General features: G+C 35.0%; 1 protein-coding gene and 1 long non-coding RNA gene across 15 annotated transcripts in view; one reads left to right on the top strand and one right to left on the bottom strand.

Moving 5' to 3' along the window:
* The window catches only part of INPP4B (inositol polyphosphate-4-phosphatase type II B), an 823,376-nt gene that overhangs the window by 229,544 nt on the left and 576,025 nt on the right, over positions 1 to 17,807 (top strand). The window lies entirely within an intron of this gene.
* The window catches only part of LOC101927613 (uncharacterized), a 100,791-nt gene that overhangs the window by 45,707 nt on the left and 37,277 nt on the right, over positions 1 to 17,807 (bottom strand). The window contains exon 3 of one of the 3 annotated variants that reach the window (XR_007058284.1): positions 4,832 to 4,908. The exons of the other annotated variants lie outside the window; for them this stretch is intronic. This is a non-coding gene — a long non-coding RNA (uncharacterized LOC101927613). Of the gene's footprint in view, positions 1 to 4,831; positions 4,909 to 17,807 lie in introns of those variants that run through there. 3 annotated transcript variants of the gene reach the window in all.

The following is a 17,807-nucleotide window of genomic DNA, read 5'->3' as shown; positions in this document are numbered from 1 at the left end:
AATGTACCCAATAGGTAGTATTTAATTCCTCATACCCTTCCTACCCTCCCCACCTTTAGGAGTCTCCAGTGTCTATTATTCCACTCTGGCTGCTCATATATACCTGCTCTTTAGCTCCCACTTACAAGTAAGAACGTGTGGTTTTTGGCTCTCTGTTTCTGAGTCATTTCACTTAGGATAATGGCTCCCAGTTTTATCCATGTTGCTGTAAAAGACAAGATTTCATTCTTTTTTATGGCTGAGTAGTATCCCATGGTGTATATATAGCATATTTTAAATTCAGTCATCCATCAATGGACACTTAGGTTGATTCCATGACTGCTATTATGAATAATGCTGCACGTGAAAAGATGCTCAACATCTTCAGCTTTCAAGGAAATATAAATTAAAACTAAAATAAGACAAAAATGTATGGTCACCAGAATGGCTAAAATTTAGAAGTGTTGGGGTACAAAAATAATTCCCCAAAATATGGCTCTTTAACATGCTAAGCACCTTAAAAATTGAGAGGTCTCAGAACATGCTAAGCGCCTTAAAAATTGAGAGGTCTCAGAAATAAGCTTCAGAACTACTGGCTTTCTCCGACCTTGTCTTGCCTCCCTCTCTCTGATCCTCTTTACAGAAGCACTGGGAGATATCTCTCTGAAGTTTCTTTATCTAAGAAAGCTTATTTCCAAAAGAAATGTGTTATGTTTTAAGACTCCCTCTCTAGGAATCTCATCAAATAACTGGGAAAGATAAACTACCAAAGAAGAGAAGAAACTGGGAGTCATCACCACACTGAGATAGACATTTCATCCATTCCGAGGGCAGCACCAAGAGATTTCATTGGGTGAGGGTTGGGGGGCTTTATCTGCATAAAAATGTCAATCTTTGTTTTTATGTAGTTCTGCCCCTCACCTTGTCCATCTAGCTTCCAAATAGAATCATTTATAAAATAATATCTAACACCTGAGTCCATACATCTCTCCCATATAAAGAGATTATTTAAGCCTCAAACATATGGCCCCTCTTTAAGTCTCATATTTTGTATATGACTTCTGTGTTTAGGCACATTATGAATTTGTATGCCTTTTTTTCTCCTATTAATATGGCTTTTGTCAGTTTATTTTCTGTGAACCTTCAGTGGGCAGAGAGGAAGCATTCTCTCAACCCCTACGAAAAAGTTAAACTGTCAAGTTGTAAACTAAAAATAAAATCTTAAGTCCCCCACTGACTGAAGACACACTTTCTTGGCCAAGGGGACCTCAGAAAAACCTTAAAAACTGAATTCCCAGCCATGATGGGAAGGGAGGTCAGACGTACCTTGTTATACCCTTTCCCTTTTGGAGTTTAGGCACAACTGACTCGCATTAATAAAAAATTAATAAAAATAGAGATCATGAGACTAACTAGGTGGACTCTTCGTGACAGTAAGATACTGAATCACAAATAGGACCTAAGGCCATGCCAGACAAGGGCTAACTCACACATCCCTACAGGTCACTCTGACCTAGTTTATTGGTTAACAGACTTCCTTATCTTAACTTAAAACATTCCTTTCTGCTGACTCCAAATTTGTAGACAAAGCTTTACTCCTTTAACCAGTTGCAAATTAAGGAATCTCTTAATCCACCTATAACCTGTAGATATCTATCTTTTTGGATCAAATCAACATATAACTTCCATGTATTGATTTATTACTTTGCCTGTAACTCCTTCCTTTCTAAAATGTATAAAACCTCCTCCCTTTCTAAAATGTATAAAACCAAAGTGCAGTCTAACTTCTGCAGATGCACTTTCTCAGGAACTCTTCAGATTGTGTTCCTCGGTACATAGTCAGTCATACTGACTCAGAACTAACCTTTTAAAATAAAAATAAATAAACAAATAAAAAATGAATAGTGCTGCGATAAACTTACAAGTTCAGGTTTCTTTCTGATATAATGATTTCTTTTCCTTTGAGTGGATACTCAGTAGTGAAATTTCTGAATCAAAGGGTAGTTCTATTTTTAGTTCTTTAGAAATCTCCATACTGTCTTCCATAGAGGTTGTACTAATTTAGATTTCCACCAATAGTCTATAAGCATTCCTTTTTCTCTGCATCCTCACCAACATCTGTTGTTTTTTGACTTTTTAGTAATAGTCATTCTGACTAGGGTAAGATGGTATCTCATTGTGGTTTTAATTTTCATTACTCTTAAGATTACTCATATTGAGCATTTTTCCCATATGTTTATAGGTTACTTGTATGTTTTCTTTTGAAAAAATGTCTGTTCATGTCCTTTGTCTACTTTTTAATGTGGTTGTTTCTTTTTTGTTGAGCTGTTTGAGTTCCTTTGGTTCTGGATATTAGCCCTCTGTCAGAAGTATTGTTTTCAAATATTTTCACTAATCCTGTAGGTTGCCTGTTTACTCTGTTGATTATTTATTTTGTTATGCAGAAGCTATTCAGTTTAATTAAGTCCTACTTCTATATTTTTGTTTTTTGTTGCATTTCCTTTTGAGGACTTAGTCATAAATTCTTTGCCTAGGTCAATGTCCAGAGGAGTTTTTCCTAGGTTTTCTTCCAGGAGTTTTATAGTTTCAAGTCTTACATTTAGGTTTTTAATCTATCTTTAGTTATTTTTATATACTGAGAGATAGGAGCTCACTTTCATTCTTCTGTATATGATTATCAAATTTTCCCAGCATCATTTATTGAACAGTGTGTTCTTTCCCTAGAGTATATTTTTGACAACTTGCTTGTAGGTATGTAGCTTTATTTTGGGTTTGTTTGTTTGTTTGTTTTGAGACAGAGTCTTGCTCTGTCACCCATGTTGGCTGGAGTGCAGTGGCCTTCGCCTACTGCAAACTCCACCTCCCAGCCTCAAGTGATTCTCCTGCCTCAGCCTCCTGTGGGTTCTTTGTTCTGTTCCATTGATCTGTGCATCTATTTTTATACCAGCACTATGCTGTTTCAGTTACTATTAAGAACTTATCTTGATATTTATTTGCTACCCGTTCCTATAACCATCACCACTGTGTTTAAGTATAGGTTTGTATTAACTAAGAATCTTAGTATAACATGGTGGGATGCAGTGGAAGTTTGGCTCTTAATACAACAAACCCTTTCTATTTGTGAATTTGGCCTTGGAGGACTTACCATTTGCAAATAACCTTGAAGATCATGATATCTGATTTTTTACAATTTAAGGTATGTGAGTAATATGCACCATGAGGCTGATGTGTAGGACTAAGTTATTAAATGACAAGTGAAGCTAGCCAAGCACCCAGCATCTAAATATTAATCTTTTTTACATTCTCCATTTGTTATTGTATAGCTTTTTGTTAAATGATTTAAACATTTCTCTTTGTAATGTGATGGAAGGATATATTCACAGAACATGAGATTCTGGACAGAAATTATGTCTATGAAAAGTCAAGGGTCTTTACAAAGATATATGTGTTGTGAATTTTAGATTTCCCAAGGATCTGTAGCCATAGCTACACACTGAGAGTCTACTGCAGTATAATCAGTGTATGTATGATGGTAACTCATGAAATTCTATTGATTTCCAGATATAGATGACCTTGGCAGGAGCATGTAACAGTCTTTTAGTTTTGTAATCTCCAAACTATTTTATTGTATATCCTGTGAAAAATAAAGAGCATGCATTTGTTATCTTCATATTAATATATACCTTATAAAATGTACTACTCACAAATCTATATGTATCAGTTTCGCTTATGTTCAGCTGCATATTGCAGAAATAGTATTTAAAACAAATAGTAGTGTATTAAACTAGATGGAATTGTATCTCTTTTCCATGTGAAATCTGTAGATTGACAGTTAAAGACTGGTAGGTCTCTGATCATCAGGGAGAAAAGCTCTCTCTTTATTGAATGTCTGTTCTCAACATGGGTCTGCTCCCTCGTGGTACAAAGCAGCAGCCGGATCTCTAGCCATTACATTCACATTCTAATTAGCAGGAAGAAAGAAAGGAGAAAAAAGGCCATGCTTCCCTTTGAGGAAGTTTTCTATATGGCACTTACATTATTTCTGATTGCATATAGGGGCCAAAACTTAGCTAGAAATAGGTCCAGGAAATAATAACTTTTCGTTCTAAGTGACAACATATTGAGCTAACAGTCAGGGTTCTGTTACTAAGTGAGAAGAGTGCTACAGACTGAATGCTTCTTTTCCACCAATTTCATAGGGTGTTAAATCCTAACACCCATGGTGATATTTGGACATGGGGCCTTTAGGAGATGATTAGGTCATGAGGGTGGAGCCTTCACAAATGAGATTAGTGCCCTCATAAAAAAGGCCCCAGGGAGTTTTCTTTCCCTTTCCTCCATGTGAGGCTATATTGGTCGGTGCAAAAATAATTGCAGTTTTGCCATTACTTTTAAAAATGGCAAAAACTGCAATTCTTTTTACACTAACCTAATCTCAGGATTTCTGTAAACCAGGAATTGGGCCCTTACCAAACGCCAAATATGTTGGTACCTTGAACTTGGACTTCTTGGCCTTCATAACAGTGAGAAATACATTTCTGTTGTTTTTAAACTACTTAGTCTATGGCATGTTTGTTTTAATAGCCAAGAAGGACTAAGACATAAAGAATGGATATTGCAGTAGGCAAATAGCAGTCTCTACACACTATGTGTTAAATAATTGCGAGGCCTAATTACTTTCTTAGTTATTCTATAAAAACTAAATATAAGCAAGAGTCTTAATATTTTCTTTCTGCATACAAATGAATCATCTCATTTACCAAAGTATGGATCACTCACTTCAGAGGCAGAAGCAGCAGGGAGAGTGAGCTTCCTTTGCCAACTCCTTGGCTATTCCTAGAGAGCTGCAACCAGCAAACACTCCTCTCCTTCCTCTATTTTTTTCTCCTGAAGGTTGTTAATTGGGTGGAAGAGGGGTGATCACCATACCTGCATGTGCAAATAGGGTATGCAAACCTATTGAGGTCCAAAAAAATAATGCATGTAAACCTGTGTATGCTATACAGTGAGCTACAGAAACCTGTCCTTAAAGAGGGAACTTCCAGGCCAGATGCAGTGGCTCACGCCTATAATCCCAGCACTTTGGGAGGCTGAGGCTGGTGGATCACCTGAGGTCAGGAGTTCGAGACCAGCCTGACCAATATGGTGAAACCCCATCTCTACTAAAATTACAAAAATTAGCCAGGCATGGTGGCGTGCACCTGTAATCCCAGCTGCTTGGGAGGCTGAGGCAGGAGAATCGCTTGAACCTCAGAGGCAGAGCTTGCAGTGAGCCGAGATCACACCACCACACTCCAGCCTGGGTGACACAGCCAGACTCCAGCCTGGGTGACACAGCCAGACTCCATCTCAAAAAAAAAAAAAAAAAAAAAAAAGAAAAAAGAAAAAACAGAACTTCCAGAAGGAAAATTAAGTGTTTGAAAAGCCAATTTATTTTTTGCACACAAATAATTTTTTTTTTTACAAACGAAAAAATAAAAGATATATGTATTTTAATGTTAGGCCAGATAAAAGTGTTTAATTCATAGTTATGAGTATGTTATATACTTACCATTACTTACTTTTCCTTGAAGCTAACAAAACAAAACAAACAAACATGAAATATTACAGATGCTTATAAATACCAGCATATATTCTGGTATGGTTCGTGTCTGTGTCCTTGCCCAGATCTCACATCGAATTGTAACACCCAGTGTTGGAGGCGGAACCTGGCTGGAGGTGATTGGATTATGGGTGTAGATTTCTCATGAATGGTTTAGCACCATCCCTTGGTGCTGTTCTCCTGAGAGTAAGTCAGTTCTTGCAAGACATGATTGTTTAAAAGTGTTTAGCACCTCTCCTCTTTCTCTCTTGCTCCTCCTCCTGCCATGTAAGACGTGCCATGCCTGCTTCCCCTTTGCCTTTTGCCATGATTGAAAGTTTCCTGAGGCCTCCCTGGAAGCCAGGTGGATACCAGCATCATTCTTTCTGTATATCCTGCAGAACTGTGAGCAAACTAAATCTCTTTTCTTTATAAATTACTCAGTCTCAGGTATGTTTTTGTAGCAGTGCAAGAATGGACTAATACATATTTTGTGGTGGTCCAAGAAAGCTTTTGAACTAAGGTTTCAGCATCAAAATCCTAGTAGATTTAAAAATTGGTGAACCTGAATCTTATTTTTTTAAAAAATGATGCTTCCATTGGCATGCAACTTTTCAGTTTGTAATGTGTGGGTGTGTGTGTACACATACATATATATATTTCTCAGTTAATTTTCAAAAATATTCTCAGGGTAATAAGTTTAAGATCAATATAGAATCAAATAATTTCAAAGTTGGTGATCACGTGTTCTAAACTTTTGAGGTCCATAAAAATAATGCAGTTTTTCTAATACCACACAACTAATTAGGAGTATAGCTATAAACATAGATATAGGGAACACTCTGTCTAAATTTTTTTAATTTACAAATATGAAAAGCATATGCTGTTAAAATAAATGTCATTTTATTCTGAGTCTTATTTATTTATCCTCTTAATTTTTATTAAATATACAATCTTAACAGTGTTGGTTATATTAAAATTACACCATCTAATGCAGTAGTCACTACCCTCAGATGGCTATTTGAGGTTAAATTAATATATTATTCTGTTCTCACACTGCTAATAAAGACATAGCCAAGACTGAGTAATTTATAAAGGAAAGAGGTTTAATGGATTCACAGTTCTACATGGCTGGGAGGCCTCACAATCATTGTGGAAGGCAAAGGATAAGCAAAGGCACGTCTTACATGGTGGCAGGCAAGAGGGCTTGTGCAGAACTCCCATTAATAAAACCATTAGATCTCGTGAGACTTATTTACTACCATGAGAACAGTATGGAGGAAACTGCCCCCCTGATTCAATTATCTCCACCTGGCCCCACCCTTGACACATGGGGACTGTTGCAATTCAAGGTGAGATTTGGGTGGGGACACAGCCAAGCCATATCAATTGACTAACATAAAAAAATCTATATCCTCAATCCCATTAGCTAAATTTCAAGTGCTCAGTAGCCAGATATGGGTAGTGGCTACCATATCCACCAGTGCAAATTATACATATCCATCATCTAGAAAGTGCTATGTTAGAAGGCTATTCTATTCACTACTTCTTAGGAAATTATAATTACATTCTGTTTCAGCTGGTGCCTGGGAGTGTTATGAACAGTGAGCAAGCAAACTAGCAGTATCAAAAGGGCTGAGAAAACAGTTGACTCTTCAAGAAACAGTTTTCCTATTCAAGAGAAAATGAGTATGTGTGAAATTAGAATAATAAGTGCAACTAAGCAGATAAGTGGTTTTTAGGAAGTCAGCATCATGGATATTTATAGATGGTATCTTAGATAAGCTTTTTTTGGAGAAACATTTTGAATCATAATTTTTATCAGTGATAAAGCCTTTTGGAGACAATATTAGAAGTATTCATTTCAGGGACCTATCAGTAAAGTTTTAAAGACTTTGAATTGATATGATATCCACCAATGTGAGGCTAACATGGTAATCTTTTGAGAAAAGGGGAAAGGGAAGTATCCCAGAGAAACAGGAGAGATAACTTTTTTTTTTCTTTTAGGATAAAAACTCACATTTACTTATGTGCACAGAATCACATACTTAAAACCTCTGTTCTTTTTGAGCTGAAACATTCAAATTGATTTTGGCTGATGAATTAAATGAGCCTCTCAGCAATTAGTAGGCAACCTCAGCATGCTCTGATCCTTCCATATGCAGCCTTTTGGTCTTAGTGTTAATTACAATAAACATAAATAAGTATTTATGTTTAAATATAAATAAATATTTATATTTAATAATATTTTCCATTACTGGAAAATTATTCGGAGCTGTAAGCAGGGAATCTAACTGAAGAGAGAAACCTCAGAAAACAATAAGAGAACAAAATTATTAGGAAATATGGATTCAAAGAAAGGAAATATCATTATAGAGTAAGAAGAAAAAGGCACTTCATGTAGCGAGACTGAACTTCCTTTGAAGCATAATAAGAGTTTGAGATGGGAAAAAGGAAGGGAGGCTCCTCTAAATCGAGGATGAGCAGTCCTGAAGATTCAAATATACACATAATATGACAAGAGTGGAGATTGGGGAACAGACACTGAGGAAGCATGATGGGAACAGAAAGTGTGTGTTTGAAGTTAGTATAGCAGCACTGGCTAGAAAGGTGAGATACAGTGAAGACAGAGAGGATCTTGAAAGTAACAGTTAATGGCTGTGCATGCAGTTGTCAAAGGCAGCAGACTCTGTTGAGATTTTGGTTGGAGAGGGACTCAACGAAACTGGTCTTTCCAGATGATAAGTCTTGGAGGGTGTTGTACAGAGTAGGTCAGAGGGAGAGCAAGTGGAGACCAAAGGGTACTTCTGTAACCTAGGAAGTCCACAAATATTTAATGAGCACCTACTATCTTCCAAGTATTGTTCTAGGCATTCTAGGCATTGGCAATACAGTAGAGAATATGACAGAGATGGATTTCAAGTGCAATGGGTGGAAGATTATAGGGTATTAAGAAAGAAAAATGTAGTTAGAAGCTATAGAAAACTCATAAATCCTGCATATTCCAGAATGTTGGTGTCAAGAAAAGATATTTTTTAGGCCATTGACATTATCATGTTTGTTTTTAATACATTTTCTTCCAACTCACTATAATGCCAAAGGTGTGGTATTTTCATGAAGGTGAGAGAGTAATTGCCTTTATTATTGACTTTTGTCCTATGCAAAAGAGTCAATAAAGGAAAGAAGTCCTGGTAATTCTGCCAGAAAACTCCAAAAGGAAACCTCTGCCTTCATTTTTAGGAAATCATTAACTAATGGCAGGTGCAGCAGTCACTCTACTGTTTATAATTAGAAGACAATAGGCCCTTGATGATTCATTCATTTATTTAAAACAAAAAACCAAACAACTTCTTTAATGCTTGTGCTCTGAAAATATAGCAGTAAATATGTCAGATAATGGAAAATCTTTGGGGTGGCAGAGTGCCTGCGAAGCATAGAACAAGGTTGGATGCAGATGTCCTGGGAAGGTTTCATGGTGTCTTTGTCCATAGAGGAAGCTATTGCCATTTGCCCCATAGAACAGGAATATAACCATTCATGTTGAGAAACTGATTTATTGAGGAATTAAGGGTAATAGTGGAAAGGTCTTGTCTTTTCTTCATCCCTAGCAGGCTTTATGACTTCAACTCTCTTGATCCTGGAAGCTATAAGTGTTCTTCTTTTTTAAAAAAGTATATTGTCTGTCTTAATTTGTATATCTTCTCTATAATTGCCCTGTAAAACAAGGCTAATGTGAATGTGCAAAATAAAATTGAAAGTACTATAAATCTGTACACAGAGCATTAATATATTATTAATTTTAAACTTGTTTTGTACATAGACATCTGGAAAAAATAGTGTTATATTTTTATTTTGGATCAGCTGGACAGACCAGCATCCAAATCCAATATATATTCTCTAGAGACCAAGAGGTTTGGATGCAGACTAATAACGATGGTATCAAGCTTTATGTCAGCCAGGACTAGAGCACTTAAGCAACATGTAAAGCTACATATACATATAAATAGGTGGCAATTTCTAGATGCCTCTTATTAACTTACCTAACTAGAGGATGTTCAGAGTGTATAGTAATGAAAAAGCTACTGCTATAGCCTTTAATAGAGTAATTCATTTAAACATTTGCATATATTTGACTACTTTTATATGTAAATAAAATCTTATCTGCTTTCCATATAGTACCACAACATTCAACAAAAAGGGAATGATTAATTTAATTATTGAATATCTACATGATAGATTTTACACAGCATTAAAGTTTGTCTTTCTATTTTTTGTTGAAAGATATGAGGATATATTTATGCAAAAAATGTTGAGCAAACAAATTTGGATATAGTATTATATTTTCATTATAATACCATATATGTAAAATAGAAAACAGTATTACCAAATATAAGTTAATAATCATATTGACATAATGTTATATAGATTTATTTATAGTTTAGATTTATTTATTTGTATATTTAGGTTTCTAATTATTCTATAATGATTATGCATTATTGTTTAATAAGTAAAAAAGCAAAAGTAAAATTTAAACAATTTGTTACCTTTCTTTGTGTTTTAAAAAATTTGCCTTTGATTTTCAAATGCTTAAAAGACATATATGCACCACAGATAATTGAAATTGTCATTTGCAGTGATTCTTACTTGATCTGAGTCCGGAGAAAATTGATTTTAGTATTTTTCTCTAATGAAACAGAAACATTGCCAGCAGCTTCCTCATGGAATTTTAGCACTTTCAAGGCCAGAGTGTTGCATATGAAAAGACTGAAAAATTCCTTTAGGCAAACATTCTTAAGGATCCAAAATATTTGAAAATATGTATTTGAACAGCTGTGTTTTAATCTGATATTTTAAAATTGTTTAATGCTTCTTTTTTTACCCTTTTATTGATATATAAAAATTTACACATGTATAGGGTACATGTGAGTGTTTTTATATGCAAAGAATGTGTAATGATCAAGTCAGGGTAATTGGGGTTTATCATGAGTGATAAACCTTGAGTTGCTTATTATTTTTTTATGTTGGTATCGTTTCAAGTCCTCTCTTCTAGTTGCTTTGAAATATATGTAATATTGTTGCTAGTACCTTGATCTGCTGTCAAACATTTGAACTTATTTCTTCTATCTAACTGTATGTTTGTACTCATAACTGACCTCCCTTCATATATCCCTTCCCCACCCTTCCCAGTCTCTGATATCTATCATTCTAGTTCTATTCTCCATGTCTATGAGATTAAAGTTTTTTAGTGCCCACAAAGGAATGAGAATACACACTGTTTGTCTTTCTGTGCCTGGCTTATTTCACTTAACTTAATGACTTCCAGTTCCATCCATGTTGCTGCAAATGACATGATTTCATCCTCTTTTAATTGCCCAATAGTATTCTATTGCATATGTATACCACATTTTCTTTATCCATTTGTCCACTGATGGGCACTTAGATTGATTCAGTATCTTTGCTATTCTGAATAGTACTGCAATAAACATGTAAGTACAGGCAGTTCTTTGATATATTGACAGATATTTGGATAGATAATAGTGGGATTGCTGGGTGGTGCAGTAGTTCTATTTTTTTGTTTTTTTGAGAAATCTGCATACTGTTTTCCATAGTGGTTGTACTAATTTAGATTCCCACCAGCAGTATATAAGTTTTCTTTCCTCTGCATTATCACCTGTCTTGTCTAACTGGAGTGAGATGATGTCTCACTGTAATTTTGATTTGTGTTTCCCATATGATTAATGATGTTGAACATTTTCTCATATATCTTTGACAATTCATATGCCCCCTTTTTTTTTGAAAAATGTGCATTCATGACCGATGCTAACTTTTTAGTAGGATTACTTGTTTTTGTACTATTGAGATGTTTGAGTTCTTTATATATTTTGAAGAGCAGTCCCCTGTTGGATAAGTAATTTGCAAATATTTTCTCTCATTCAAGAGGTTGTCTCTTCAACGTGTCAATTGTTTCTTTTGCTGTGTAGAAGCTTTTTAGTTTAATATAGTCCCATTTGTCTATTTCTGTTTTTATTGCCTGTGTGTTTTAGGTCTTAGCCATAAAACCTTTACCTAGCCAATGTCCTGAAGAGTTTTCCTTGTGTTTTCTTCTACTAGTTTTACAGTTTCTTCTAGTTTTACAGTTACATGTCTTCTATTTAAGTCTTTAATCCATCTTGAGTTGACTTTTGTATATGGTGAGAGATAGTGATTTAGTTTCAGTTTTCTGCATATGGTTATTCAGTTTTCCCAGCACCGTTTATTGATAATAGGTCAGGTCACAATTTTTGTTTATTTGGAGTCAGTCTTGGTAGGTTGACTCCAAATACATGTTCCTGGTGACTTTGCCAAAGATCAGTTGGCTATAAATATGTGGATTTATTTCTGGCTCCTCTGTTCTGTTCCATTTGTCTATGTGTCTGTTTTTATACCAATAGTGTGCTGTTTTGGTTACTGCAGGCTTCTAATAGGTTTTGAAATTAGGTAGTGTGATGCCTCCAGCTTTGTTCTTTTTGCTTAGGATTTGTTTGGCTATTCAGGCTCTATTTTGGTTCTATATGAAGTTTAGGATTGTTTTTTCTAATTCTGTGAAAAATGACATTGGTGTTTTGATAGAGATTGCATTGAATTTGTAGATGGCTTGGGAAGTATGGCCATTTCAACAATGTTAATCCTTCCAATTCATGAGCATGGGATGTCTTTCTATTTGTTTACGTTCGCTTCAATTTCTTTCATCAGTGTTTTGTAGTTCTCCTTGTAGAGACATTTCACCTCTTTGGTTAAATTTATTTTCAAGTATTTTTTTGTAGCTATTATATATGGGATTATTTTCTTGATTTCTTTTTTGACAATTTCAGTATTGGTGTATAGAAACATTACTGATTTTTGCACATTGATTTTACATCCTGCAACTTTACAGAATTTATTTGCAGTTCTAGGAGTTTTCTGTTGGAGTCTTTTGGTTTTTCTAAATATAAGATCATGTCATCTGGAAAGAGACAAATTTAACTTCCTCTTTTCCAATTTGGATGCTTTTTATTTCTTTTCCTTGCCTGATTGCTCTGCTAGAACTTACAGTATTATGATAAATAGGAGTAGTAAATTTGGGCATCCTTGTCTTGTTCCAGTTCTTAGAGGAAAAGCTTTCAACTTTTTCCATTCAGCATGATGTTAGCTATGGGTTTGTAATATATGGCTTTTATTATTTGAAACTATGGTTCATCTATACCTAGTTTGTTGAGAAGTTTTTATCATGAACAGGTGTTGAATTTTGTCAAATGCCTTTTCTGCATCTATTGATATGATCATAAGATTTTTGCCCTTTATTCTGTTGATGTTATATATCACATTTATTGATTTGCGTGTATTGAACCATCCTTGCATTTCTGGGATAAATTCAACTTGATCATGTTGTATTATCTTCTAGACATGCTGTTGAATTCAGTTTACTAGTACTTCATTGAGGATTTTTTGCACCTATGTTCAGCAGGGGTATTGGCCTGTACTTTGTGTGTGTGTGTGTGTGTGTGTGTGTTCTTGTCTGGTTTTGGTATTAGGATAATTCTGTTCTTATAAAATGAGCTAGGGAGAATTCCCTCTCTTTCAATTTTTTTGGAATAGTTTGAGGAGAACTGGTATCAGTTCTTCTTTATATATTTTGTAGAATATTACACTGAATCCATCTGTTCTTGGGCTTCTCTTTCTTTGGAGACTTTTTTGTTACTGATTTCAGTCTTGCTACTCATTATTGGTCTGCTTAGGATTTCTGTTTCTTTCTGATTTTATTTTGGTAAGTTTTATGTTTCCTGGAATTTGTCCATTTCTTCTAGGTTTTCCAGTTTGTTCTCATATAGTTGTTCATAATAGTCTCTGATGATCTTTTTTTCATTTCTGTGGTATCAGTTGTAATATCACCTTTTTTAATTTCTGATTTTTTTTGTCTCTTATCTCTTCTTAAATGAGTTAGCATTTTATAAATTTTGTTTATCTTTTCAAAGAATCAGCTTTTAGTTTTGTTGATCCTTAGTATTTTTTTTCTTTTTTTCAACTTTTATTTTAAGTTTGGGGTATATGTGCAGATGTGCAGGTTTCTTACATAGGTAAATGTGTGCCATGGTGGTTTGCTACATGGACCATCCCATCACCTAGGTATTAAGCCCAGAATCCTTTAGCTATTTTTCCTGATGTTCTCCCTCCCCCCACACCCCTCTCTGACAGGCCCCAATGTGTGTTGTTCCCCCAATGTGTCCATGTGTTCTCATCATTCAGCTCCCACTTATAAGTGAGAACATGCAGTATTTGTTTTTCCTTTTCTGCATAGGTTTGCTGAGGATAATGGCTTCCAGCTCCATCCATGTCCCTGCAAAGGACATGATCTTGTTCCTTTTTATGGCTGTGTAGTATTCCATGGTGTATATTTAACATTTTCTTTATCCAGTCTATCATTTTCTTTGTCCAGTCTATCATTGATGGGCTTTTAGGTCGATTCATGTCTTTGCTATTGTAAATAGCACTGCAAGGAACATATTCATGCATATATCTTTATAATAGAATGATCTATATTCCTTTGGGTATATACCCAGTAATGGGATTGCTGGGTCAAATGATCTTTCTGCCTCTAGGTCTTTGAGGAGTCACCACACTCTCTTCCACAATGGTTGAACTAATTTACACTCCCACCAACGTGCAAAAGTGTTCCTTATTTGCAATGTCACCAGCATCTATTATTTTTTGACTTTTTAATCATAGCCATTCTGACTGGTGTGAGATGATATCTCATTGTGGTTTTGATTCACATTTTTCTAATGATCAGTGATGTTGAGCTTTTTTTCATATGTTTGTTGGCTGCATCTATGTCTTCTTTTGAAAAGTGTCTGTTCACGTCCTCTGGCCTGCTTTTTAATGGGGTTGTTTGTTTTTCTTGTAAATTTGTTTAAATTCCATGTAGAATAAATTTTAAAATAGTTTTTTCTAATTCTCGGAAGAATGTCAATGGTAGTTTCGTGGGAATAGCATTGAATCCATAAATTATTTTGGAAAGTATTGCCATTTTTACAATATTGATTCTTTCTATCCATGAGCATGGAATGTTTTTCTATTTGTGTCCTCTCTGATTTCTTTGAGTAGTGGTTTGTTTTTCTGCTTGAAGGGATCCTTCACTTCCCATGTTAGCTGTATCCCTAGGTATTTTATCATTTTAGTAGCAATTGTGAATGAGAGTTCATTCATGATTTGGCTCTCTGCTTGCCTGTTATTGATGTATAGGAATGCTAGCGATTTCTGCACATTGATTTTTTTATCCTGAGACTTTGCTGAATTTGCTTATCAGCTTAAGAAGCTTTTGGGTTGAGACAATGAGGTGCTCTAGATGTAGATCCTTAGTATTTTTTAAATCTCTGTTTTATTTAGTTCTTCTCCGATCTTTATTATTTCCTTTCTTTTGTTAATTTTTTTTTTTTTTTTTTTTTTTGAGATGGAGTCTTGCTCTGTCACCCACGCTGGAGTGCAGTGGTGCAATCTTGGCTTACTGCAAGCTCCGCCTCCCGGGTTCACGCCATTCTCCTGCCTCAGCCTCCCAAGTAGCTAGGACTATAGGCCCCCGCCACCACACCTGGCTAATTTTTTATATTTTCGGTAGAGATGGGGTTTCACCATGTTAGCCAGGATGGTCTTGATCTCCTGACCTCATGATCTGCGCACCTCAGCCTCCCAAAGTGCTGGGATTACAGGCATGAGCCACCATGCCCAGCTATCTTTTGCTAATTTGGAATTTGTTTTGTTTTTGTTTTTCTAATTCCTTGAGGTGCATCATTAGGTTGTATATTTGAAATCTTTCTGGTCTTTTTTTTTTTTTTTTGACATAGGAGTTTATTGCTATAAACTTGTCTCTGCTTTTGCTGTGTCCCGTAGGTATTGGTATGTCATGTTTCCATTTTTATTTAATAATTTTTTTGATTTTCATCTTAATTTCTTTATTGCCCCAATAGTTGTTCAGGAGCATGTTGTTTAATTGCCATGTTTTTGCATAGTTTCCAAAACTGCTCTTGGTATTGATTTTAATTTTATACCATACTGTTATGAAAATTACTTGATATGATTTTAATTTTTTGAAAATTTGTTGAAACTTGTTTTGTGGCCTAACATATAGTCTATCCTGGAGAATGTTCCATGTGCTTATAAGAATGTGTATTCTTCAGTTGTTGGATGAAATGTTCTGTAAATGTTTGTTAGTCTTATTTGATCTAAAGTCCGGTTTTTCTTGCTTAAGTGCAATGTTTCTTTGTTTATTTTCTCTTCTGATAATCTGTCTAATGCTGAAAGTATGATGTGGAAATTCACCCATTATGATTGTATAAAAGTCTCTCTCTCTCTAGATCTGGTAAGATTTGTTTTATGAATCTGGGTGTCCCAGTTTTCAGTGCCTATATATATATTTAGAATTTTTGTATTGTCTTGGTAGATTGATCTCTTTATTATTATATAATGCCCTTTTTTGCCTTTTTTTCCTGCTGTTAGTCCTTAAAAGTCTGCTTTATCTGATTTAAATATAGCTAGTCTTGCCTGTTTTTGGTTTCAGTTTGTGTGGCAGTATACTTCTCCAACCTTTTACTTTATATGTGCCTCTATTGGTAAAATATGTTTCTTGTAGGCAGCATCTAGTTGGATCATTCTTAATCTAATCAGTTTGTCTATATCTTTTCAGTTGAAAGTTTAATCAATTTATATTCAAGAGTTGTTATTGATATGTGAGGTTTTGTTCCTGTTGTATTATTAATTGTTTTCTGGTGGCTTAGTATAGTCTTTTTTCTTTTTCTCTTGATCGTCCTTGTGATATGCTTTTTCTGTGGTAGTAACTATCATTTGAGTCTTTTTTATTACTTATTTGTATGTACTTAACAGTGAGTTTTATATTTTCATGTGTTTTCATGATGATGACTATTATCCTTTAACTTCCAAGTTTAGGATTCTCCTGAGCATTTCTTGTAAGTCAGGTCTAGTGGTATTGAATTACCTCAGCATTTGCTCATCTGTGAAAGAGTATTTCTTTTTATGTGTGAAGGATAATTTTGCTTGATATAGTACCCTTGGGTATTAGAGTTTTTATCAGCCTTTTGAATATATCCTCCCATTCTCTCCTGTCCTGTAAGGTTTATGCTGAGAAAGAGATCCAAGTGGGCAACTTGAAGAAAAAGTGCCTATCATTGATTTTAGACAGTTTGACTATAATGTACCGTGGAGAAGATTTGTGGCATTGTGTCTGATTGAGGATTGCTGGGCCTCCTGAATCTGGGTGTCTAGATCTCTTCCTAGATTTGAGAAATTATCTTCTATTATGTTGTTGAATAGTTTTTTGAACCCTTCTCTCTTTGCTTTGGGGGATATCAATAATTCATATATTTTGTCACTTAATAGTTTCTCATATATCATGAGGACTTTGTTCATTCTTTTTATTCTTTTTTATTTTTATTTGACTGGGTTACTTCAAAAAAACATGTCTTTAGGTTTTGAAATTCTTTCTTCTGCTTGGTCTAGTCTATCATTGAGTGTACCTTGTATTTCATTAAAGGAATTCTTCAGCTCCAGAATTCTATTTGGTTCTTTTTAAGATATATATCTCTGGTAAATTTCTCACTCGTAGTATAAATTGTTTTTTTCTGATTTCTTTGTATTATTTTTCACAATTTTTTATCTTACTGAGATTTTTTTGTATGATAAGTTTGAATTCTTTTTCTGAGATTTTGCAATTTTTCTTTTATTAGGATCTGTTGCTAAGAAATTCTTATATTCCTTTGGAGGTGTTATTATTTTCTTGCTTTTTAATGCTTCCTGTGTCTTTATGTTGCTGTCTGTGCTTCTGGTGTAACAGTGGCTTCTTCTAGATTTTCGACTTTACTTATATAGAGGAAGACTTTTTCCTGAAGTTCTAAAAATTGTGTTGTTTGGGTAGGGTTCTTTGGCTTTGATTTTGGCTGTGTGCCATAGCATATTCTCTGTATGATTTTTTGTGGCTGTAAATAGCATCAGTAGTATCTGTGATTTCCTCAGTAGTTTAGGGTACAGTTATTAATGAAGGCTATGGTGAATCTTTGCTGAAGACAAAGATGCCAACTAGGACAGTCTTTGGGCCCCAATTGGTGGCAGCAGTGGGCTAATATTGGATGGCTTATGTTGGCACTGGTGTTAGCAGACAGTCAGACTGATGCTGAGCTTACCTGGATTTCAGTAGTGGCAGCAGTGGGTTGGGTGGCTAAGA

Source organism: Homo sapiens, chromosome 4, assembly GCF_000001405.40.
Source record: "Homo sapiens chromosome 4, GRCh38.p14 Primary Assembly".
NCBI lineage: Eukaryota > Metazoa > Chordata > Mammalia > Primates > Hominidae > Homo > Homo sapiens.
Note: the sequence above shows the minus strand (reverse complement) of the source record. Positions and strands in the feature narration are given on the sequence as shown.